General features: G+C 35.2%; 2 long non-coding RNA genes across 7 annotated transcripts in view, besides 2 other annotated features; one reads left to right on the top strand and one right to left on the bottom strand.

The window, feature by feature from the left end:
- Window positions 1-25614, bottom strand: part of LOC124902439 (uncharacterized) — an 820351-nt gene that overhangs the window by 40817 nt on the left and 753920 nt on the right. Inside the window, exon 1 of one of the 5 annotated variants that reach the window (XR_007062167.1) lies at window positions 21039-21396. The exons of the other annotated variants lie outside the window; for them this stretch is intronic. This is a non-coding gene — a long non-coding RNA (uncharacterized LOC124902439). Of the gene's footprint in view, window positions 1-21038; window positions 21397-25614 lie in introns of those variants that run through there. 5 annotated transcript variants of the gene reach the window in all.
- Window positions 7225-7425: a silencer, noted in NCBI's record as "peak972 fragment used in MPRA reporter construct". NCBI's record gives its function as "represses an SCP1 promoter by STARR-seq MPRAs in K562 erythroleukemia cells {active_cell/tissue: K562}" and the evidence as "EXISTENCE:reporter gene assay evidence [ECO:0000049][PMID:32103011]".
- Window positions 21285-21485: a silencer, noted in NCBI's record as "peak971 fragment used in MPRA reporter construct". NCBI's record gives its function as "represses an SCP1 promoter by STARR-seq MPRAs in K562 erythroleukemia cells {active_cell/tissue: K562}" and the evidence as "EXISTENCE:reporter gene assay evidence [ECO:0000049][PMID:32103011]".
- Window positions 25264-25614, top strand: part of LOC105378335 (uncharacterized) — a 37450-nt gene continuing 37099 nt past the window's right edge. For both annotated transcript variants that reach the window (XR_946019.3, XR_946018.3), the window contains exon 1: window positions 25264-25380. This is a non-coding gene — a long non-coding RNA (uncharacterized LOC105378335). The remainder of the gene's footprint in view (window positions 25381-25614) is intronic.

The following is a 25614-nucleotide window of genomic DNA, read 5'->3' as shown; positions in this document are numbered from 1 at the left end:
TCTCAGAAAGTAACAGCTTAAAGAATTCCTCCAAGATGGATATTTAGATTAGGTGAACCATACCTAAGGATTGTAGTCAAGATTCTTGAACTCTCTTCATCTAATTTGCCTTTGAGAGACCTTTTTCTTTATCTTGATTCAACACATTATGCTTTTATTGTAATGCAATCCAAGCACATATCAGGCAAGATCTTGAGAACTTTGGATTATAAGTATCATTCTACCTAAATAATTAAGTTGAAGAAAAACATAAGGATACATGGTGAAATACAGGCCAGTATGGAGCACGAAGGCTATCATTTCTTCCTGATTTATGATATGCACTCAGGAAGGCCCAACAGGCAGAAAGGTTAACCGTTTTTATAAGATCAAAATTGGGTTTTCTTGGTATAATAATAGGTAGAATTTATTGCATAGCTTTTGTACCTAACATTCCTCCAAATGTCCTACATTGATTAAATAATTTAACTTTTGCAATAACCCTTTCGGTAGTTACTATTTTTATCCCTATTTTACAAATAACTCAGTTGAAGACACAAGAGGTTACAAAACTTGTCCAAGGTGACACCACCATTAAAAGCTGAACAGTCATTAAAGGAAGGCGATCTCTCTCCCCAGCACTTGCTAGCTCATCCACTGTGCTAGCTGCTTCACATATATCATAAGCACAATGCATTTCACAAAACTGCCTCTGTGTGTGACTTAGGCCTAGGAAGAAATAGGGATTTCAGACAAAAGATACATACATCAAGTCCCAATAATGAAACTCTGATTTTTTGTATTACATTATTATGCATGAAATGCCCATCCCTTCCATATATTTAAAAAAGTCCTAAAACCAACATGCCAATAACAGTTACATTGAGGCAGTACTTAATGTCCTCCTTATATTTGTTCAAGTTATTTTTTAATAAAAAGAAAATGAAGAAAACCCTCATAACTCAGTAGCAATCGAAGCAAAAAATTATTTTAAAAGATACTGTTACAGTGTATATATTATACATGAAACACTGACTTTCAAACTCAGCAAAATATTTTTAATCCAGCCATATTGCTTCTGAGTAATTATCCTGGCTGTAAACACCAGTAAGTCAAATATAGGAAATGGTATGGCTTGATGTTGTGTTAACCAAGTTAATAAAAATTTTAAATAGCAGTAATAAGCTGTTGAGGAGAAAATAAAATGCTATGCTTATGGAGAGCCTAGTAATGACTCTGAGTTAGAGAATTGCAAAGAAATAGAATCAAACAGCCCTGTGCTACAAATTGCTGGAGATGTGGCACTGGTATTAGCGGTAGGAGAAAAGTCTTACTTACAGTCATATTGCTAACCATCCATATTAGGAGGCAGTTAACCAGGACCAGAATGCCTAGGTTCAAATACAAAGTCCATATTTTGGCAGAGTCATAGCTGTGGCATATTACTTAGTCTCTCAAAACTTAAGTTTTTACCTCTGTAAAGCAATGTTACTAATAAAACACACTTCTCAGGGTTGTTCCAAGGATCAAATAAAAATACATATAAAGTGTTTATCAAGATACAGAGAATATGGTAATTGCTCAACAAATATTAGCTAATGGTAACAGTAGTGAGCTTGGCTCTTTATCTCTTTTTAATTATATTAGTTTTGTTTACTTCGCTAGGAATATAACTGTTATATATGAAAAATATCAGCATCTTTGATATGAAGGAAAAATTACTGATGAAAGATTAAAGGCAAAGTAACAAAACACAAAGTTGTTAAATTAATAAAATAATTTATTATTTTATATGAAATAGAATGTCCTAGGATCAACCTGTAAATTAATACAAATATGCCACATTTCTAGCAATACCTCAGATATCAGCACATCAAGCCTTCTTTCACTCAACTAGCTAAAAGACAAGTGTTTGCCTAGAATCTACTTCTTAAGATATTCTTAAAAATTCTCAAAAAAGAGAATGTTCACTCTACACCCCCACAAGTCTCTGAAACCTGAGTTAGCATGATTTTATTCTGGAACACCTGAGTGAGTATGGAAGAAGATCACGCATCCAATGAGTTATTAGCTTCCACTTTGCTGTCTCTCTGCCCTGATGTCCACTGTCAACGCCCCCTTTTGACTCTACTGTTCATTGTCACTGTATTACCCAAGGTCAATCTCTGGTCTGACTGCAGTCTGGGACCTCTGGACCTCTGCTAATCATCACAACCCTTGGGCCACTGCCATTACCTATACTGCTGATGACTCCTCTAAAGCATTGAGCCTGAATACACCTCTCTTCAGTCAGTGGGGGAATGCCTTTCCTTCTGTGTCTCAAGTTGGCTTTGTCAAAGAACTGTAGAACTGTAGAGCTTCTGGTCACATTTCAAAAAATATCACTCAATGCTTATCCAAAATCCTTTCTCAATTTTTTCCTTAATAACAGAACAGGAAAATACACAACTAAACTGAACACCAAATACTCCTTTATCGCTAAGGGTGTTCCTGTGACCAAATGACCCTGTTCAGAGCCTATAGATGTACTTTGAAATTTCCAATGGGTGGAGCTTTAAGGAAAGAAAGATTACAAGAAAATTGCAATCCATCCCCAGTGGGTGGAGCTTTCAGGAAAGAATTCAGCCTTCAGCTTTTTTTCTCTTCTTCATTCTTTTTGTTTGAAATTAGATGAGATTCAGGAGGTACAATGGTCTTGTTGCTACCATGAGACCAAAAGCATAAAAACAAAATTATATATTCTTAGGATGAAGTACAAAAAAGATGGAAAGATCCTGGCTTCCTAAACATATCAATGAGCCATTGCATTAGTCTTGGACTATGTAACTCTAGACTCCTTATTGTTTGAGACTAATTCATTTCTTGTTCGTCTAATTTTTCTATTGTTTAGTGCCAATAGCGTTTCCAACAGGCAGAGCTTTTAATGACAGAATGTGTTCCTCTATACTTGAAACTTCTCCTTTCCCCAAAATAGAAATGGCTTACAGCTTGCACAAGAGCATATTCAATCATGTGATTACTGGAGTGGCCAGGGAGGGCATAGTTGAGCACAATTTCTTGCCCTGTGTTGACAGCACCTTCCACGCAATGATGCTGAGCCTGACCCAGTCTGTCATACTGTTTTCCTTACTTGAGGCAATTGGCTTTTAAATTCCAATTGCCTCTCTTACCAGGGCTCTCCTCTGAGATTTCTCTTCCATCAAAAAGAGATTTTGGCCAGGCACAGTGGCTCACATCTGTAATTCCTGCACTTTGGGACACTGAGACAGGTGGATGGCTTGAGCTCAGAAGTTCGAGACCAGCCTGGGCAACATAGTGAGACCCCACCTCTATAAAACAAACAAAACATATTTTTACAAATGAATTGCCAATGTGAACAATGTTCAGGAAACATCCTATAAGACTTCTGGGAATGTAACAGGGTAGCTGTTCTAACAACTCCTGAACCTCCCATCTAATTTAAGCAGTTTTCAGTTTCTGAAGTAGTATTGTTAGCCTGTCTCCTTGAACACACAAAGGATTTATGGATGGTATTAAATAACCGCACAGATCAACCTATTAGAATTTCAGCCTTGATCTGACCTAGACACTTTGAGGAATCCAAAATGTCTTTTCGGACTGGTAAGGTAGGAGAAAATTAGGTAAAGAAATCATTATATTGAAAACATTTTTATTAGATGATTCCATATATTTTCCCACTCATACATTTTGGTTTCATAATTTTATGATTAGGACTATGGCTATGTGTCTTACTTATATTTGATTTAATATTTTGTTAGAATAGCAGTCCTTACAGATACATATTTTAATTATTTATAGGCTAAGTATCTGTTTATCTAAAACATTCACATATTTACTTCGAACATTTTAAAAAATCTATGATTAAATATAAACAATATAATTATTGAAAAGTATAACTTTCAATGTTCAATTCCTCCCTCTAATAAGAAAAAAAAACACTTTCACAAAGTCCCATTTATTTTCCTATAATATAGATATGATCTCTTATTTCCTAGCTTGTTGGTTCTCTAACTTGTGAAAATCACAGATAACCACCTTTAGGTTTAAAAACAATATTAAATTCATGCTTCAAAATAAGGTGAATTATTTTAATGTAATTATTCTAGTGGTTTCAATGTGGAATCAGTCAGAAATGAATAATAATATGCAAAATTGTCAAAATAGCTGAGTTTGGACAAAAGAAAGCCAGACATTTCTTGAATTCTTCTGTTGCTATGTTATGCTCTAAGAAACAGCACATTTAATTCATACAGCACTCCCACTGACTTCTTCATGAACACTGAAAAAATCTGTTTCAAATAGAGGTAATTAGTCAGTGATTAAGAGACAGAGGATAATTAGTGCAAAAGAGAAATGACTTTGTTTGTATAAGAGCTGCCAGTCCAAAAGAAAAGAAGCCTTAGGAAAAAACTTTTTAGAAGAAGTATCTAAAGTTTTAAGGTTAATTGATTCCAAAGTTAAAAGTTCAAAACTATCAGCACAAAAGTAGAAAGTCAGGCAGTGTAAGTACACCCTTAAATGTGTTGTTCACACTACTTGGAACACTCTTTCCCATGACCTCACTTGACTGTCTCCTCATCTGATTCAGGCTCATTTACAAATGACTTCTCTTCCAAGGGGGTTCCCTGATTATTCTAGCTAAAGTAGACCTCAACTATTTACCCTGCCTTCTCTTACTCATTTTATTCATCAGAATCTGGAATTTTATCATGATTCATTTTTTTCTTGCCAATTATCACCTGTCTCTCCCATTAGAATATAAGTTGCATGAGGACAGAGTGCTTACCATGTTCTCCACTAAATCTCCAACACTTATAGTAGTCCCTGGCACATATTAGTTGACCAAATATTTGCTGAAAAAATGAATACCTGAAGGAGTTTCTTTCTTTACAAAGATCTTTATGGGGGTTAAAAGTGTTGTCTGTTGTAAAAGATTTTCTTCTCAGTAACAGCTGTATGAGATTTTCAGGTATATCTTGGAATGATGCTTAGAATTCATGTGAATTATTTGCCTGATCTTTCATTAATAAACCCTGGATTCCACCTCCTCTCAGAAGACTTCCTATTAAGTAGAAGTAATCAACTCCACAGTTGTGCTCTAAAAATGCCTTGTTCATTTGTGCATGTATCTCCTTCAATAGCAAACCACTCAGTGGTGAGGATTATGGCCGATTTGTCTTTATCATTGCCTCAATACTTAATACTGCATGTAGCATCACTGTCTGAGAAAATCACATCGCATGACTAACTCAAAACATCACTAGACACAAAATCTCTTCCCATGAAAACATTCTCTTTTCAAATACTTAATGAAGTGCTCTGTCCAATACCAATGCTGCCCAAATCTAAAGCCTCGCCCCTTAATATGACACACTTTTCTTTATGGTCCACTGGATGGCCATCGCTGCAGCTGAATGATCAATACAGTTAGACTATTTTCACAACACAATTTTTAAAATAACAGTTGTCACTTACTATATTAGCTGACCTTTTCTAGGTGCTCTAGCATCCACTCACCCCAAACCAACTAGATAATAAAAACAATATATGAATAGCATTGGTAAGCCAATAGAAATTGCTGTAACTTCTTTTTGCCTGCCCATCCTCCTACTCTAAGCAAGCAAGTTTATTTTCCATTCAGCCCCAGAAGCTCACATGTGTCTAAAGATATAGTATGACCCAAACCTCTCCATATCAGGAAAAACACTGAAGAGAGTTAAATAAAATTCTTACAATCTTAATTATGAATACAAACTATAAATGAGTTTAATGTCTGCACATTTTCGTATTATCAGAAGTCTGAAACAAAGTCACTGTAACTAACCTTCCACCTTGTCTTTGTACATTAATATTTTAGATTGCAGATTAAAATGTACATTTGAGTGAAGCTATTTCATATTTGTGGTGTATGCCAGAGACTATAGAACAGAAAATGGAGTTGAAGTTTCCACAGATGTTTATAGATGTATAAAAGGAATTTTTAAATTTACTTTTGAAAAGTCAAATATATATTCTTTTTAGTGAATAATGTGATTATCTTTTAATAAACCTCTCATTTCCTGGAAAAAATAAACACTTTCTAATTATGCCAAGAAATAAATAGAAGTGTATTTATATCAAAGCATAAGAGAGATTTTTTTCCTAAAATTATTTCTTAGAAAAAATAGAAGTCATGTTATGTTTGCATCTATATAAATACTCTCCACATAAATATTCTCATAGAACAGGGGCATGTTTAATATGACATTTTATAGTGAAGAATATGGCACTTATCTAAAGAGATATTCATCTAAAAATCCTATATAAATGCCACATTTGGATGACTATAGCAATTATTTATTTGTTTTCACTATGTGTAGTGAAAACAAAACAAAAAGATAAAAATGAAAATAGCTTTCAAATTTAAAACACACATAATAATTTTAGGATTCTGATCTTCACAATTTCAAATGCTGTATATGGTCATACACAAGCATTTAAAATCAATTTTAAAACAGTATAGGAGAATGGGTGCAATGCAGACCTGGAGATCTTTTTAGGTTCAGTTTCACATTCATTCACAAAAAAGAATGGGTCTAGTTGGCATCAGATTCACTTAAGAGGATTCAGGACAGGACATGCAGCTTCTCGGGTGGGCAGTGTTGAGCATTCTCTATCAAGAAGAGTGGACCTCACAGCAATCCATACAGCAGTCCACACAGCCCCACAGAGATAGTTCCGAAGTGAGAAAAACTCACATTTGTCAAGTTCAAGAGGCAGCCTGGCTTAAAAGTCTCATTCTCCACAGGAAACAATTTATTGTAACAACCCATAGGCATAACTTATGGGGGTCCTGGGAGCACACGCCCAGTTACAAGAATCATCACCCTTAGGGAAGCCCAACAGTATAGTGCTGCAGTAAGTCACTTGTTGTTCACTTAGAGTCTCTCTCAGTATAAATGCTATTTGCCAATCTGTGATCATTTTAATTTTAACCAATGTTGTTAATAACATGTTCTTCCATTTTAGGTTTCTAGGGAAAGAGATCTAGAAACCTAACTAAAGCTCATATTATCATGCAGAAAGGAAAAGTTTTTCTTAGCCCGTTACCCACAGATGGATTTCAGTGAAGGAAGAGTAACATGTATCACACAAACCCTCTTGCCAAAAATATTTATAAAGTCTAGGAAAGCAATATTTTTAAAAATGAAACTGTTGGAAGGCATTAGAGAACAGCCGAAAGTGGACAGAACCTTGTGAGGAAACAACCTTATGAAAAAAGAAATAAATTCGGTGAGATCTGTATAAATCCAGCTTTTATCCTGGGGCATGCTTTAGTTTGTGTACTGCATGGGAGATAAGGCACAAGCAGAAAACAGAAGTTCTGCTGGCCTAAGTTGTGAAAGATCAGAGCTCAAGACTTCCATGAGGCAGAAAATGTATGCTGATTTTAAGGAAAAGAAAAAACTGCAAGGAGAGAAATCCTAAAATCCACATATTCTTTTAATATTCTCAGCTGATGCTGAACTGAAAACACAGTGGGAAGACCCCCAAAACTCCATCAAAACTCACCATGAAGGCTGCAAGAACTGAGCAGATTTTGGTAGTTATCTAGCATTTGGGTGATAAAGTTTGAGATCAAATCCCACTAAGTTAAGGAGATCTAATAAACACAGTAGGCCTTTCACTGAAAACAAAGAAGAACCCAAAGCTAGAAGTAAGCATCACGTTCCTGGATTAAGCATACATGTATGGTATTGATAATGCTTAAAAATTCTACAAAATGAAGGTGATCCACCACTAATTTTACTCCTTACTAAAACAAACTCTGTGCTCTTCACAGAGAGATCATGGGTCCAAACTCTATTTAAAGTACCATGCACATTGTTTAATATGAAGTCAAATATTATTCGGCACGAATAAACAGGAAATTGTATTCTAAATAAAAAATATAGTCAGTAAAAATAAAGTATTAGATAATTTAGATCTTAGAATTGCCATGAGATATTTAAATAATAATAGTATATATTTTAAAGAATGTACAGGAAATTGTAGATATAATGGGTAAAGACAGGTAATTTGGGGATAGAGATAGAAATTAAAGAAAAAAATGGAGCTCTAGGATTAAAAATTCAATATCTGAAGTATGAAAATTATCTGAGCTTCAGCAAGTCATCATCTTTTGCTGGTGGAAGGTCTTGCCTTGATGTTAATGGCTGCTGACTAATCAAGACATGATTGTTGAACACTGGGGTGGCTGTGGCAGTTTCTTTTCTTTTTTTTTTTTTTTTTTGAGACAGAGTCTCTCTCTGTCACCCAGGTTGGAGTGCAGTGGTGTGATCTTGGCTCACTGCAACCTCCGTTCCCTGGGTTCAAATTATTCTCCTTCCTCAGCCTCCCAAATAGCTGGGACTACAGGCATGCACCACCACACCCAGCTAATTTATTTTATTTTATTTTTGTTGTTGTTGTTGTTGTTGTTGTTGTTGTTGTTGAGATGGAGTCTTGCTCTGTCTCCCAGGCTGGAGTGCAGTGGCGCGATCTCGGCTCACTGCCAGCTCTGCCTCCCAGGTTCAAGCCATTCTCCTGCCTCAGCCTCCCGAGTAGGTGGGACTACAGGCTCCTGCCACCATGCCCGGCTAATTTTTTTGTATTTTTAGTAGAGACGGGGTTTCACCATGTTAGCCAGGATGGTCTCCATCTCCTGACCTCGTGATCCGCCCACCTTGGCCTCCCAAAGTGCTGGGATTACAGGTGTGAGCCACCACGCCCGGCCTGTCACACCCAGCTAATTTTTGTATTTTTAGTAGAGACGGGATTTGGCCATGTTGGCCAGGCTGGTTTCGAATTCCTGACCTCAGGTGATCTGCCCACGCTGGCCTCCGAAAGTGCTGGGATTACAGGTGTGAGCCACCATGCCCGGCCAGCAATTTCTTTAAAGAAGAAAACAATAAAGTTTGTTGCATCAATTGTCTATTCCTTTCACAAAAGATTTATCTGCAGCATGTGATACTGGTTGACAGCATTTTACCCACAGAAGAACTTCTTTCAAAATTGGAGTCAATCCACTCAAACCATGTTGCTGCTTTATCAACTCAGTTTATGTGATATTATAATATTTTGTTGTCATTTCAACAATGTTCACAGCATCTTTACCAGGGGTAGATTCCATTTCAAGAAACCATTTTCTTTGCTCATCCATAAGAAGCAATTCCTTATTCATTCAAGTTTTATTATAATATGGCAGCAATTCAGTCACATCTTCCAGCTCCACTTCGAACTCTAGTTCTCCTGCCATTTCTACCACATATGCAGTTAGTTCTTCCACTGAAGTCTTGAATCCCTCAAAGTCATCCATGAAGATTGTCAGCGACTTCTTCCAAACTCCTCTGAATGTTCACTAAAACCTTCTCCATATCAGCAATAAGGCTGTATTGCTTTCTAATCATTTGTATGTTCACTCGAGTAGCGCTTCTAATTTCCTTCAAGAACTTTCCCTTTGCATTCGAAACTTGGCTGTTTGGTACAAGAGACTTAGCTTTCAGTCTGTCTTAGTTCCACACAAAACTTAATCATTTCAAGCTTTTGATTTAAAGTGAGAGGCGCCTAGCTTTTTTTTTTTTTTCACTTGAACTCTTAAATGCCATTGTAGGGTTATTAATTCACCTAATTTCAACATTGTTGTGTCTCAGGGAATATGGAGGCCCAAGGAGAGGGACAATTATGGGGGTACTGAAAAGTGGAGCAGTAAGAACACATGCAACATTTGGCCAGGCACGGTGGTTCACGCCTGGGTGGGAGGCTGAGGTGGATGGATCACTTGAAGTCAGGAATTCGAGACCAGTCTGGCCAATATGGTGAAACCCTGTCTCTACTAAAAATATGAAAAAATTAGCTAGGTGTGCTGGCACACACCTGTAATCCCACCTACTCAGGAGGCTGAGGCAGGAGAATCAGTTGAACCAGGGAGGTGGAGGTTGCAGTAAACTGAGATCATGCCACTGTACCCCAGGAGTCTGGGCAACAGAGCAAGACTCTGCCTCAAAACAACAAACAAACAAACAAAAAAACCGACCACATACAACATTCATCAATTACGTTTGCCATCTTATATGGGCATGGTTCATAGCACCCCAAAACAGTTACAAGTGTAATATGAAAGATCACCATAACAGATATAACAATAATGAAAAAGTTTACATTATTGTGAGAATTATCACAATGTCACACAGAGACACAAAGTGAGCACGTACTGCTGGAAAAACGGTGATGATAGACATGCCTGACTTAGGGTTTCCGCGAACCCACAATTTGTGGAAAAAAAAAAAAAGAAAAGAACAAAAAAAGCCGTGCATGATGGCTCACGACTGTAATCCCAGCACTTTGGGAGGCCAAGGCGGGTGAATCACCTGAGGTTAGGAGTTCGAGACCAGCCTGCCCAACATGACAAAACCCCATCTCTACTAAAAACACAAAAATTAGCTGAGTGTGGTGGCACGTGCCTGTAATCCCAGCTACTTGGGAGGCTGAGGCAGGAGAATCACTTGAACCCAGGAGGCGGAGGTTCCAGTGAGCCGAGATCGTGCCATTGCACTCCAGCCTGGGCAACAAGAGTGAAACTCCACCTCAGAAAAAAAAAAAAAAAAACCCTTAATATCTGTGAAGCACAATAAAGTGGCACAGAATAAAACAAGATATGCCTATAATACTCGTGTAATAAATGATTTCTAGTTACAAATAAAATTGTGAAAAAATGCTGAATTTTCAGTTTGTCAAACATATTTCACTCCAGACCTTTGTTGATATTGTTTCCTTTTCTCAAACACTTTTCTCTGTCATTCTTTGGCGATCTACTTCTTTAGATGACATACTTCCCAAGAAATTTTACCTGAAACACCAGTTTGTTTTAGCTGAGCACGTATTTTAGTTTCATTTAATTGAGTGTATGTTTTTTCATTAAAACCCAAAATTTGCTCAATTATGTGTCTCAATACTCTCAAAACAGTTAAGCTTGATTTACCTGTTTTACTTTCAGTATGTAACATTTACTATTCCTTTAGTAAATGCTTAGTATTTAATAAATATTTAGTAAGAAATATTTGTTGAATAGATGAATGGCATAAATTTATTGTTTAATCAAAGAAAAAGAGAGTATCAATAGACAGGATAGATTATCAATCAGAAAATCCTCCATATATATTATTGCTCACCAGCCAGATTGTGATACATATTAACTGGCAAGAAATTGCAAGTTACACTCTCTGGAAGTTCAAATAAAGAAGTTATTCTATTTTGCAATTGAAGTCCAAACTTCTGTGTTTTAACAATCTATATTCTCAAAGGAAGAATTAATAAGGTCTTATAAAAGATGGAGCTTTACACATGCCTAACTAGAAGGTCACCCAGTACGGCATAACATAGTTATCTATCTTTTTTCAGACCTGTTTTGTCATGTTTATTACTCACTTGCATCTTTTCATTCAATTAATTCATAAAAATTCTCTCTATATTATGCTATATTTACTTTTTGACATATAAATTGGTTATGTTTTCTCAGTTTGCGATTTCAAATGGAAATGTATTAAATTGGCTTTTAAAAAATCTCCAGCTATACAAGGACATATGAAAAGGAAAAAAAAAAGGAACATGCTTTTATATATTGACTGGTTTCATATTAACAAGTGTTTACAAATATATATATATATTTTGAGACAGAGTCTCGCTCTGTTGCCCAGGCCGGAGTGCAGTGGCACAATCCCGGCTCACTGTAAGTTCCGCCTCCCGGGTTCACGCCATTCTCCTGCCTCAGCCTCCCGAGTAGCTGGGACTACAGGCGCCCACCACCACGCCGGGCTAATTGTTTGTATTTTTAGTAGAGACGGGGTTTCACTGTGTTAGCCAGGATGGTCTCGATCTCCTGACCTCGTGATCCACCCGCCTCGGCCTCCCAAAGTGCTGGGATTACAGGCGTGAGCCACCACGCCCGGCCTACAAATATACTTTTTAAGCAAATACTATGTGCCAGGCATTGGAGATGAAATGACAGGGGAGATGATAGAATTTCTATGCCCATGAAACCTGTCTTCTGAAAAAAAGAAAAATTCATTGATTTAAAATACATTTCTCAAAATACTTTTTTGTGCTTTTATTATGCTCGGAAGGATAATCTTGCATCTACTTGGGTGACGAATATGTCTTTAGTATTTAGAATGCATTTAAAATATATAAAAATAAGAAACTATGCAATGCATGAATTGTGGACTTATCAATATTGTTCTTAACCGTCCATATGAACATGCGGATCTTAAATGAAATATAAGTTCTCATAAATATAATCAACTGTTAAAGTTGATTACGTAGCTTGAACAACTTAAAATAATTCTGTTCACAGTGAGACCTTTGATTATTCTTACAGGATATTTCTGATTCCTGATTTCCTAGTGTTCTTACAGGATATTTCTGATTCCTGATTTCCTAGTGTTCCACTAGGAAAGAATCAAAGAGTTAATGTTCACAGTTTGTATTCACAGACTACTCAATATAGATTTGTAAAAGGAAGTAGGCATATCTTTAATTAAGAGAAAAATGGAAAGAGTAGGAGGAACTAAAATGTGCTCAACTTCAATAACATAATTGGGAAATAGTTATTTCAAACACAGTTTATCTTTTGAAAGCTAACAAACCATCAGCATCTTGATTGCATAAGCAATTCTGTAACTGTTTTAAGCAGATACATTGAAAAAAAGAAAAAAATTAATTTCAGTCACACAATAAGACTCATCATTTTTCCAAAAAGGAGCACCTTCTACAATATAGCTCTTTGTACATTGTGTTAGTAACAGAAATGTATGAGCAAATGCCAAATTCCTGTCTTCAGAAGCCATCAGGAGATTTGGATAAAGAACTTCTTACCATGTTAAGATTTCATTCTTTTTCATCTTTCAACCTTTTACCAGCATTCTGTATCCACATCCATACACATCAATATACACACAGATATGCACAAGTGGCAATAGAACACATCTCTATATTTAGTTATTTATCCTTCAATATTAATATGGTGTTTCGATTTTTGAGCAGCAAATACAAATATTTAAAAGGTAGTTTTGAAATATTTTATCTTTTCTATCGTATATAGGTGAAAGGAATAGGATATGGCGAGCTGTCCACGTTTCTCTAATCCAGGTTAATATCTTTAAAACAAGGCTTGCATGCTTAGAATTCTGCAGCAGACAGGATACCAGGTAGAGTGATTTTAGGTCTCAGTAGAGAATGATGCAAACTCTGGGAAACTAGTCAGTGAGAGTCCCACCAAAAAGCAGTTGGTCCCCCGCTTCAGCTGATTTTCACTAAATATAAGTTGAAAGTTGCCATATTTTTAAAAATCTAGATATGTGTGCAAAATCTTCATATGTTTAAAACACTGTAAACATACATGTTTACAAATAAACACACATGTATCCTACCTGACCCAAATTCACCACATCTACTTTCAAGTAAATCATGAAATGGGCATGTCGGGTTCAAATTGAGTCTCTTGATCTTGTGTTTTACTCTACTTCGAACTTCTTAAAATGAAAAGTATAACCGTACCTTTTTAGTATAACTAATCAAAGTGCTTTCATATAAAATATCTCATTAGAATTCTGTGAAATTTGATAGATATGTTATAATTAATAATAATCTAAAATGAGTAAAACAGCAAATTAAAATGATAGTTATAGTACATTAAATATAAATAGGATCATGGAAATGATATAGCCAAACCTTCCAATTTGCAAATGAGGAAACTCTAGCTGGAGATAGTGACATATTAATTTTCATGTTTTAATAGGGGAATAATAAAATATATTTTATATACTGAGTAACAAATGTCAAAGTTATGGCAACCAAGAGAATCTTTTGAAATGAAAATGTATTGTAGTTATTCTTCAGGGCTAGTAGGGAATTCACTGGAAAGGCATAGTTCAAAGTGTGTTTGCTTGTTCATTTGTTTGTCTGATCAATTTTAAACCCTCAGTCTTTCACACGGCTGCAGGGAAGTTACATGACCTAGAGGAATTAAACCACTGATTTCCAATTTTCTGGAACCTCTACCTGCTCTCAGGGCTAATTTCACAGGAAATAATTGAACTAATATTTGACCATTTCTGAGATAAAGGAAAATTTGTGGGAAATGAGCACCAAGTACAAATAAAATCCAATTTAGCAAAAGGAAAGAATCCTTGATAATTAAGGAGACACAATTATCTACATACCAATGATACAGTGACACTTAGACACAATTATCTATGTACCTATGACACAATTACACTTAATGCCACCAAATTATACACTTAAAAATTATTAAAAATACACTTAGCTGCATTTCAGCACAAGTTTACCTATGATCTTTAGACAGTCTTCTATAAGATATATATATTATTCATGTTTTAAATAATACTATGTGCAAATAAAATTTTCACTTTGTATCAGATTATGATGTAGTTAATATTTTTCCCACGTCTTTTTATGGTATATCATTTCCCCCACGTGTCTTTTTATGCTATATAACCAAGGGATTTCTAGTGTAATCTCTTAATTTTAAAGTTAAAATAAACAAACAAACACACTTGAAGGCCAGAGGTCATGGACTTTTGAAGACAAGAGTAGAACCAGTGGTTTTACTTTATTTTAATTTTTTTTTAATTGGCAGGTGCAATTGTATGGGTTTATAGTTTCCCAAGTATCCTAAAAGCAAACTTAGTTTTCTTCCCTTGACAACCAAGCTGCCTCTCCTGAGCAAGGATCTGTTAATGCTTTAAAGCTTAAAACATGACTTTCCTAATGTGATCTCATTTTCTTTCCTTGGACTACAGTTTAGAATGGAGCTAAATAGAACTATTTCCATCTAAAACAGTTTCTATTTGTTCCCAAATATTTTAGTTCAATTCATTTTTTTCACAAATAACAAGAGAAGTATAACTAATTCAATTAAGCAGCCTATAATTTAAGCACTTTGAGAGGCCAAGGAGGGAGGATCACTTGAAGCCAGGAGTTTGAGGTTACAGTGAGCTATGATCATGCCACTTCACACCAGCCTGAATGACAGAGCAAGATCCTTTCTTTAAATAAACAAATAAATTTTAAAAAAATCATTTAAACAAATATCAAGAAACTGTAAAGAGGAAGAGTAAGATACAATCTTTGGCCCCAAGGAGTTCACAATCAAAAGGAAATTAAATACCTGATTAAATGAATAATATGTAGCAGTACGAAAGCTGTAGCAAGAAAACAGAGAGGGCAAAGTAGTTAAATCACCCTAGGTGAAGAAAAGGAGTTTTAAATGTATCAAGTAAACCAAGGAATTTGACAGTGACATCAGCAAAGTGGAAGCATGGGCTGCTCCAATTTCTCGTTCCCCATAGAAACAATGAAAAACAAGCAGAAACTGTTGGAACCAAATGATAACAAAGCATTGTGTTGTACGTACCCTCTCCCCAACCATTCCCTAGCACAGCAGTGCTCCATCTCATGAGAATGTAAGATAATGCAACCATTGTGGAAAATAGTTGGGCGGTTCATCAGAAACCTAAACATAAAATTACCCTATGCCCCAGAAACTCCACTCCTATTTATATACCCAAAACATTGAAAGCAGGGGCTCAAATAGATAATTGTATGCTAATGTTCACTGTACAGAGTTAAACAGAGTTAATCTCTATTAATCATTTTGCATGTCCAAAAGCATTTTATTTTTTAAAATCCCATTTGTAACAATACTTCAGTGACACATAAAAAATTCTGGGCAGTGTCTCCCCACATGAGGCAAGGGGAAAAAAGTTTATTTAATGCCCTAGCTCTGTTTAAATTCCTTGTTTATAGTATAATTATACTCCATGTTAAAGCACAAGTGATAATTTTACTATCATCATTTTTCTGTAAGCTACCCACTGATGATCAGTGAACACAATATCACAGTTTATTGTAGACTTGAAGCTCAGTAAAGCTTTTCATTCAATCAAATGCTGTTGGGCTATGTGCTGATCTCTAACTCCAGCCCCAGTGAATGCCAGGTATTTATCTTACTCTGTTGTACTCTAATGTATACCTCTCACATGAATTTAGAATACAAGTTGATTTGCAATCTCAATTTTGTACAGAAATATTATTCCTACTCTCATGTAAAAGTAGAGAGATGTACTATTGGTGACACAGAATTGTGATCTATATAGAACAAAGACACTAAATGCCAGGATCAAAATAATTCATTTTGTTTGGCTTTATAGTTTTATGCAGCAAAATTTATTAAAAGTACACACACACACACACACACACACAGTCACAGGCCATTAGTGTTTCTTGATTAAAGGATCTTGAATATTTTTGAACAAAATTTATTATCAAGATTATCACTCTGCTTTTTGTCCCTCCTACATGAGCTTTTCTAATTTGCCTAGGAAAAATTTCACTGGTAAAATTTCTGAGGGAAAATAAAGTTTTCACTGGATCTGTGCTCTAAGTTATGATACTCCGTGTTCTGTCTTCACTCTCCTCAGCCATGATTCCAGCTGCAAATTCTTGCACTTTGAGCCACATATGCTGTTAAATTTCATTTTGAAGTTATTGTAAATTAAGAGATTCTTATGGAATAATTTCCTCTTACTTAAATGGAACAGAACATAAATATCAGGAATGAGAGAAGGGACACCACTATAGATTCTATGAATCTTAAAAGGGTAACATGAAAATATTATAAGCAAATTTATGCCAATAAATTTGATAGCTTAGATGAAATAAACAAATTCCTCAAAAGCCGCAAACTACCAAAGCTCATTCAGGAAGAAAAAGATAACCCGAATAGCCCAATATTTATTAAATAAATTGTAGTTGTAGTTTAAACAGTTGTTCACAGAGAAAATTCTAACTTCAGATGGTTTTTGAGGGGGATTTATATAAATAGTTATGGAAGAAATAATTCAATTGCTTCCCCAAAATTGAAAAGAGAAAGAGTACTTCCCAAGTTATTCTATGCGGTTACCATTATAACCCTGATACCAAAGGCAAACAAAGGTATTATAAGAAAATAAAACTATAGCACGATGTCCCTCATTAACTAGGATATAAAAATTGCAACAAAATTTTAGCAAATTAAATTCAACAACATATAAACAAGATAATATATCATGGCCAATATATATACAAGGATGTGATGTAAACCAAGAATGTAAGGTTGATTTAAGATTTGAAAACTTGCCAATATTACTCTCTACCTTGACAGACTAAAAAACTTTTTAAAAATATGATCATCTCTATAGATGTAGAAAAGTACTTAACATAACCCAACATCCATTTCTTAAAAATGTCCTACAAAGTAAAAATAGAAAAAAATTTCCTTCACCTAATAATAAAAAAATCATTCACAAAACACCTATAACAAGCATGACATAGCAAACTTTACTCAATATTAAAGTTTTCCCAAGTGTCTTTGATCTGGATGATGTAATTTCTGATATATTTAGCCTATCAAATAAATATACACAGCCACAGAAACTAATTGGGAGTTTGGCATAATATCCTGCACAGACTACTAAAAGTAAAATGCAATTTCCACATTTTCATGTACCTAATGCTATAACTGAATACTTCTATTAGGATCATTTTAAATTAAAAATTCTGTGTATGAAAAAAGCATGTAACAAAGTAAATGATCAAATATGGCTTGAGGGCTAGAACATATAAAGACTTAAAATCAAAAAGGAAAACAGAAGCAATCCATTAGATAAATGAGCCACAACAAACACAGGCTTTTCATAGAGGATGAAGAAATAACCAATAAAAAGTGAATAGAGACTCAAACTAGGCAGAAGTTAGAAAAACGGAAACAAAACCAAAATGTATTGTTTTATACGCATGAGATTTCAAAGGAAAGTTAACAAATTCTCCCATTATTCAGAAGTAAATACACTGAACTTAGTTATCAAATCAGCATGGATATATCTCAGAAATGCAATGTTGAGCAAAAAAGTAATTCTCAGAAAAAAAAACACAGATAAAAATAAAAATATAAAAACAAATAATATAGCTTATTATGAATGTTACATATAGTAAAACTAAAATGAAGTGAAATATGAGGACTATAAAAGGATTATGTCAATAATCTCTATGAGGGAAAATGGAAGGGTTCATAGCAGGTTTGAAGCTAATAATGTTTATTTTCTAATGGCAATGGAAGAACTCAAGTGCACATTGTATTATTCTTTGTACCTTTGATAAATTACTTTTATGTTAAAAATAAAGGCCCTATTGTTAAACACGCACACCACACACGCTAATTTCTTTCTATTTTCTTTCTTTTTTTTTTTTTTTTTTTTTGAGATGGAGTCTCACCCAGGCTGGAGCGCAGCGGCGTGTTCTCGGTTCACTGTGATCTCCATCTCCTGGGTTCAAGCGATTCTCCTGCCTCAGCCTCAGAGTAGCTGGGACTACAGGTGCATCACCATGCCCAGCTAATTTTTGTATATTCAGTGCAGACCGGGTTTCACTATGTTGGCCAGCCTAGTCTGGGACTTCTGACCTCAAATGATCCGCCCACCTTGGCTTCCCAAAGTGCTGGGATTACAGGTGCGAGCCGCCACGCCCAGCCCCTAAATTTCAACATTTGTCCCTTACTGCTTGATGGATTGATGGACTGCAGGAATTTCTGTCTATAAGCAAAACTATTCTACTATTTATGCTTGAATGTCAAAAAAATAAACACGCATGTAAATGAGCTCTTTGCACTTGATATAAACAGTAAAATCTGATACTTCTCAGAGATTTTATTAAAAAGTAAAAATATGCCTTAAAATTAAACATATGCCTTTTCGTTGTAAATAATACTTTCTAATTACCAGAAGTAATAGTTTGATCATCTGCAAGTTCAACTTAAATCACCAAGCCTTATTTCTAGAATATAGGGAGCAATTGCTGTGTTTCTCTATGTAACATCACTGGGTGCCTTTCTCCAATCTGGAGAATTACCTTGACAACCAAATCACTGACTCACAGTCAGTGCCGCAATTTATCCCTAACCTCAATGTCACACCAAAAATTGTTTTGCCTACAATAATAAGGATTACTCTTTAATTAAAACTGTAACCCTTTACTCCTTTCCAATTGTCTTAAGAGCATTTCATTTATCATGAGCAATTTATAACACAGTAGTTTTTAAATAATTGCAAATGGTTTAATGGAGTACTTCCCTCAAATATGTTTTAAAAATTAAATATTAGTAGAACTTGACCTTACCCTGCAGCACATTGGGGTACGTTAATTTGCAAACAAATAGCTTTATTTCTGTTGACTGAATATAGTTAACCTCCACAAATTTAAAACATTAGCTTAAAAAATTCATCATAACTCTTTATATTCAAATCTATTTATAATCAATACACACTATTTTTGTCTGAGTCAGCTTTATAAATTTCCTATTTCTTAAACAGCCACAACTATTGAAAGAAAAATAAAAATAAGTTACATTATTTGAGTGTATATGATGAAAATGCCAGCACAGTTTTAATAGAAAATGCATTCAAATAATCATGGCCAAAGGCAATAAAATGACTTACTATTCTTTGTATGTGGCTGCAGAATCATTTTTTAAAGAGAGTTTTAATTTGTAAATCAAGTATTACAGAGTCTGAACATTAGATTGGATCCAAAAAGATAAATCATTTTATATAAAGATTACATTGTTGTGTGCCAAACATATTTCATCTGTTTTCTCCAAAATACCTGTCTAAACATTCATTTGTAACTATCATCATAGTTAATATATGTAAATATATAAATATGAAATTCTGCTGCTGCCCAAATACAACTTCTGTTAGTATTAGTAGGAATAGCACAGCCTAGGTAAAACGTAATATCCTCATTATTGTGAAAGTTAACTTCTGTTTTCCAAACTACTTTAGGAAACAGATTTATAATACAACCTACTACTGATGACTGATGGTTTTATTTAAAAAAAAACCCTAAAATCTGTCAGAATAAAAGACAAAAATCCTTCATTTCAAAATCTCAGTTTTATTGCATACAACTGAAGATATTACTTCCTGAGCAGCTATTCTTAAAACATGCACCTTTTTCTTAATCCTAAAAATAACTACTTAAGTATGAAAAATTGCAGCAGGTTGTTGGAAAGAACCTCTTCCGTGACGCATTTCATCAATTCAGAGTATAAAATCATTCTCTTCTTAAAAGTACACAATTATTTTTTCACACATTAGAAAATTCAGAATGGTGTTTTTCATGATTACAAAAATTAATTTTATAACCAACTGGGTTAATATTAGGAAAACCAAAAAACATTCTGATACAAGATAAGCTTCTTTTATGATAATCTAGTGTTTACAGGTCAAATGTGTTGAATGTAGCCAAATGAAATTAATATGAAGATTGTCATGGAGTGGGTTAGCTTGTTAGGAAGCTGCTCACTAAGGAATGAGAACACATCTATTTTAAATGCATATTTCTTCCTGATGTACTAGGACTCTCAAAATAGTTCTGTGGCCAGCACTTGCTCTGTTTCTTCTCTCTTTTCATCATACTTGTTTTTCCCCCTAAATCTATGCACAAAAATAACATACACCAAACAGGATAGAGGGAAACAATATTTTCCATTTTAGTCGAACCAGGATGATGAAGTTATCCAGAATAAAGAAGGCTTAAATGTAAATGGTTTTAAAGCTATCTTTTATAAGTGACTTTATATAATCTCATCTCTACTAGGACACCATCATAAAGGAAAATGTACAAGGAATAGAATAAAGCAATATTTGAATATTGCTCACATAGGAATGAATAATAAACTACCGGGGAGAAACTTAAAGAGCTAAAAAAGCATTGTTTATGAAAGAGAAAATAACTTAGAGGATACAATACTAAAAGAGCAAATGTAACACTGCATCTTAAGCACTGTGTTAGGTTTCTTCACCCAAACTCTTTCACTTAGTCCTAAAAATAGCCATGAAGTGAAGAGTTTAATCCCTTACTTATAAATAATGAAATTGGAGCTTTCAAGAAAAAGAATTACTTACCAAGATGGTTGAGTTATTGAAGGGCAGAGTCTCAAGTCAACACACGCCTTATAATTCCAAATAGAAGAAAAATATATAGCCTACAGATAAGTTAATGAATACTAATAAAGCTGGTGGGTTCAATTTACTAATCTGGTTTACATAAAAGTTAGGCAGTTAGGGAGATGATTACTCGTGGTCTGGGTGGTAAGAAACAAGGAGATCATTTAAAAGTATTTTTCATCTCTCTTTTTTCTTTAATTGCTTGTGTGTTTTCTTTTGTTTTGTTTTGTTGAGACAGGTTCTTTCTTTGTCACCAAGGCTGGAGTGCTTTGGCGCAATCCTGGCTCACTGCAGCCCCAAACACTCAGGCTCAAGTGATCCTCCCACCTCAGCTTCCTGAGTAGCTGGGATGACAGATGTGTGCCAGCACACCCGGCTACTTAAAAAGAAGAAAAAAAAAAAACAAGCAAGAAAAAAAAGAATTAGAATTGGAAAACAGAAATCATCTTTTTCTATTGTCTCATTCATTGATTAGTTATTAATTCAACAAATATTTTTTAGTGATAAGTAAAATGTTGATCATAAAAACAAAGTACAATCATGTGTTGCTTAACCACAGTAATACATTCTGAGAAATGTGTTATTAGGTGCTTTCATTGTTGTGTGAACAATATAGAGTGTACTTACACAAATATAGGTCATATAGCCTACTACACACCTAGGCCATATGGTATAGCCTATTACTCCTAGGTAACAAAGCTGTGCAGCATGTTACTGTCCTGGATAATATAAGCAACTGTAACACAATGGCAAGTGTTGGTGTAACAGACATATCTAAACATGAAAAGGTACAGTAAAAATATGGTCTTGAAGATAAAAACGTTATACTTGTTTAGGGCACTGACTGAATGAAGTGTGCAAGACTTGAAATTGCTCTGGGTGAGTCAGTGAGTGAGTGGTGAGTGAATGTGAAGACCAAGAACATTGCTATACACTACTGTAGACTATATAAATATTTAGAGCAAGCTAAATTTGTAAAAACAATGTTTTCCTTTTTTTAATAATAAATTAACCTTAGCTTACTCTTTTTTATATTAGAATCTTTTTAATTTTTTAAACTTTTTGACTCCTTTGTAGTAACAATTTACACCACAAATACATTGTACAGTTAACAAAAATATTTTCTTTCTTAATATCCTTATTTATAAGCTTTTTTCTATTTCTTTTAAAATTTGTAAACTTTTTTGTTAAAAACTAAGACATAAACGCACCTTAGCCTAGGCTTTCACAGGGTCAGGGTCATCAGTATCATTATCTTTCACCTCCACATCTTGTCCCACTGAAAGTTCTTCAGGGGCAATAACAGGCATGGAGTTGTCCTCTCCTGTGATAATAACTCCTTTTTCTGCAATACCCCTTGAAAAACCTGCCTGAGGCTGTTTTACAGTTAACTTTTCTTTTTATAAGAAGTACACTCTAATTATTAAAAGCATAGTTTAGTAAATACAAAGGCAGTCACATAGTTGTTTGTTATCATTGTCAAGTATTTGTACTGTACATAACTGTATGTACTATACTTATATGACTGGCAACACAGTAAGTTTGTTTACACCAGCATCACCACAAACACATGAATAATGTGTTGTGCCACGACTTTATGATGGCTATGTCATTGTGATCTCTAGGCAATAGTGTTGTTATAAGGCAATAGTGAAGCAGGATATTTCCCTGATCCCTTTGCTGGCAGGAACTGGAGTGCTTGGATGCCAGCAGGGGAAAACTCCAATCAATCGCTGCTCCACCCCTCACAGGAGGGGGTGCTCAGGTGAGCAGGTGCAGAAGCTGGGGCAAGCACCTTTGGGCGCAGCCAACAGCAAACTCCATGCTAGCCTTGCAGCAGCATCTAGAAAAGGGTGCCTGCAACCCCTGAAGCCCCAGAAGAAGTGTTACAGTGTCCTTTTAGTTTACCATCCATGGATGGCTTAAGTGTTAACAGCTCAGTGGAGAGTCAGTGTGACAGCTTTTTGCACCCACACTCGTGGCACACAAGTTCTTGTCTGGCATCCAGGAGGAATGAGGTCGCATGAACGAATTGCAGATGACAAATGTAGGGGATTTTATTGCCGATGAAATTGTCTCTCAGTGGGAAGGAGAGCTGAAAAGTGGATGGAGCAGGAAGGTCATCTTCCCCTGGAGACTGGCCATCCCTGGCCAAACTCATCTCCAAAGCTATACCATCAAGCTGTCCCTCTGAAGTCAAGCCGCTTCTCTTCAACATCCAAGCATAGTCTCTAATGTCCGCCTGCTTCTCCTCACACTGCCAGCTGAGCCTGGGGTTTTTATGGGCATAGGATTGGGGGCAGGGCAGGCCATGGGTGGTTTTGGAAAAGGTAACATTCAAGCAGGAAAACAGGGATGTTAGTTCCCAATTTGTGCCACCATATCAGGCTTTTCAGCTTAAGGGTGAGGCCATTGCCAGGGACCCACCTCTTCTGCTAAGAAGTTCCCTGCCTCCTGTCCCTATCAGTAGGAATTTTCCAACTCTGTTATAATGTTATGGGACCACTATCACATATGTGGTCCATCATTGACCACATGGTCATTATGTGATGCAGGACTGTATTGTATTGGAGGCAGTAAAAAATCAGGGTTTACTAGTAGCAAAATAAATAAATAAATAAATAAATAAATAAATAAATAAATACCTAGTAAATTATAAATTCAGATAGGACTGTGTAACTTGGCAAAATATTGTCAAAAAGACAAATAAATAAATGAGGAAACAAGTTGGATGGTAGCCAAAGGACATGATATTGAGGGTTTAGACTTGAGTTCTGCATTCATACTGCCTGAACAGCCCTCTCTGAAGCCATTGCTTCATAAAGAGAAATTCTAGAGGGAGCACAGTATGTGTGTCCACACACATAAGATCTTAGATCCTGTCCTGTGAAAATTTAGTTTTGTTGGCAGAGAAAGGGAATAAAGGGGTAAACAAATGTATAGTGATGTAAGCAAATAAGCATATAATAAAAATAAATAAATTAATGTCCTACAAAATCTTAAAATACAGAATTCTAGGAATGAGGCAGAAGGGAGGGACCTACATAGATGAGTTCAACACAAAGACCTCTTTGAAGGGAGCTCATTTAATCAAAACTATGACAAGAAGTCATCAGCAATGTAAAGAACTTAGGGAAAAGCATTTCGAATAGACACCTCAACAATGTGTGCAAAGGTTTTAGGCAAGAAAAAGTTTGGAAGAATATTTGAAGCTGAAAATATTTCTGTGCAACCAAAAGTTAGTAAGACTAGCTGGAGATGAGATTTGAAAGGTAAGGAGTGTCCAAATTTCCAGACCTTTGTCGTTGAGAAAACTGGAGGCAATGATCGTGTGAACTGTCTAATGTCAAATCAGCTGGACATAAAATAAACTACAATATAGGTCTCTTAATTCACTCTCAAGAGCGATTTATCTCTTATATATCATGGGCTCTAATGATGGACTATATAAACTCGAAAATATGTTTAGAAGGAGGAAAAGCCATTTAAAGGCTGACCTTTGCCTGCTTATGCTGATAATCAAGTATTCCATGCAAAAGTCGTAATTCGACTAAACCATGGCTACAGGATGACTGTGGTCTGCCAATTGGCATCTTTACTTCTCCAGTAATTTAAATGCCCTAATGTTAGAGCTATCCAGTTTTCTCAGTATCAATGTTTTATAATTTATAAAAATGATGTCTAAAATTTTAAAAACTTTGTCAATTTTTATTTTGGTAACAAAGAACGCAAAACCATTATAACATGTTGTAACTTTTCATTGTGCATATGTAATCCAGTTCTAGAAAAAGAACCATGCTTTCTCAGTGTTATATTGTAATGAGCTGGCTTACATGGCAGCTAAAATGCCCTGGGGGGTTTTGGATGGGAAATTAAACTCTGTCCACATTTGCAATTCCAGTAACTCTAATCTACTCTCATAGGCTGAGTGAACTTCAATTCACATCCATTTTCAGGGCCCTGAGGGAAAACAAATCAATAAGAAGAAAAAAATCAATGGAAACAAGTAGTTCACAGAAAGTTGAACAAGTCTTTAGGTTCAAAGTACAGTTTGATGGTTGGTTCCTGAACCTTGCTCATTTCCACCAGCTGTTAAGGCTTGAGAAATTTGGGATATGCATCTCATGTACAATTATACTGTTCTCTATTTTAAAAGATGCTGCAACTCACAGTGCTTGTATTTTTGTGTTTATTTCTTGCTAAAGATATCTTCGGATATATAGCATTTCGTACTTTTTAGCAGAACGAGTCGACCTGCATTGATTTGAGATTCTGCCCGTCAGTAACTAAACGACCCTGAGTAAGTAATTTTATTCTCCAGTGTTCAATTCCACAATTTATAATACAGAATATTAGTCTCTTTAATTCATGAATACTTTGAGGATTAAATTTAAAAGCACAGGCAAAGAAATTTAACATAATTCTTGAGAACTGCAGCTGCTCAATTATAGGCCTTACTATATTTACTTTATCGCTCAGACGTTTTCTTGTTGGCTTTATTTATTTTTTCTTTTTAGCTTGATTCGGCTTGAAT

The sequence above is a fragment of the Homo sapiens genome, chromosome 10 (assembly GCF_000001405.40).
Source record: "Homo sapiens chromosome 10, GRCh38.p14 Primary Assembly".
NCBI classification, from domain to species: Eukaryota; Metazoa; Chordata; class Mammalia; order Primates; family Hominidae; genus Homo; species Homo sapiens.
Note: the sequence above shows the minus strand (reverse complement) of the source record. Positions and strands in the feature narration are given on the sequence as shown.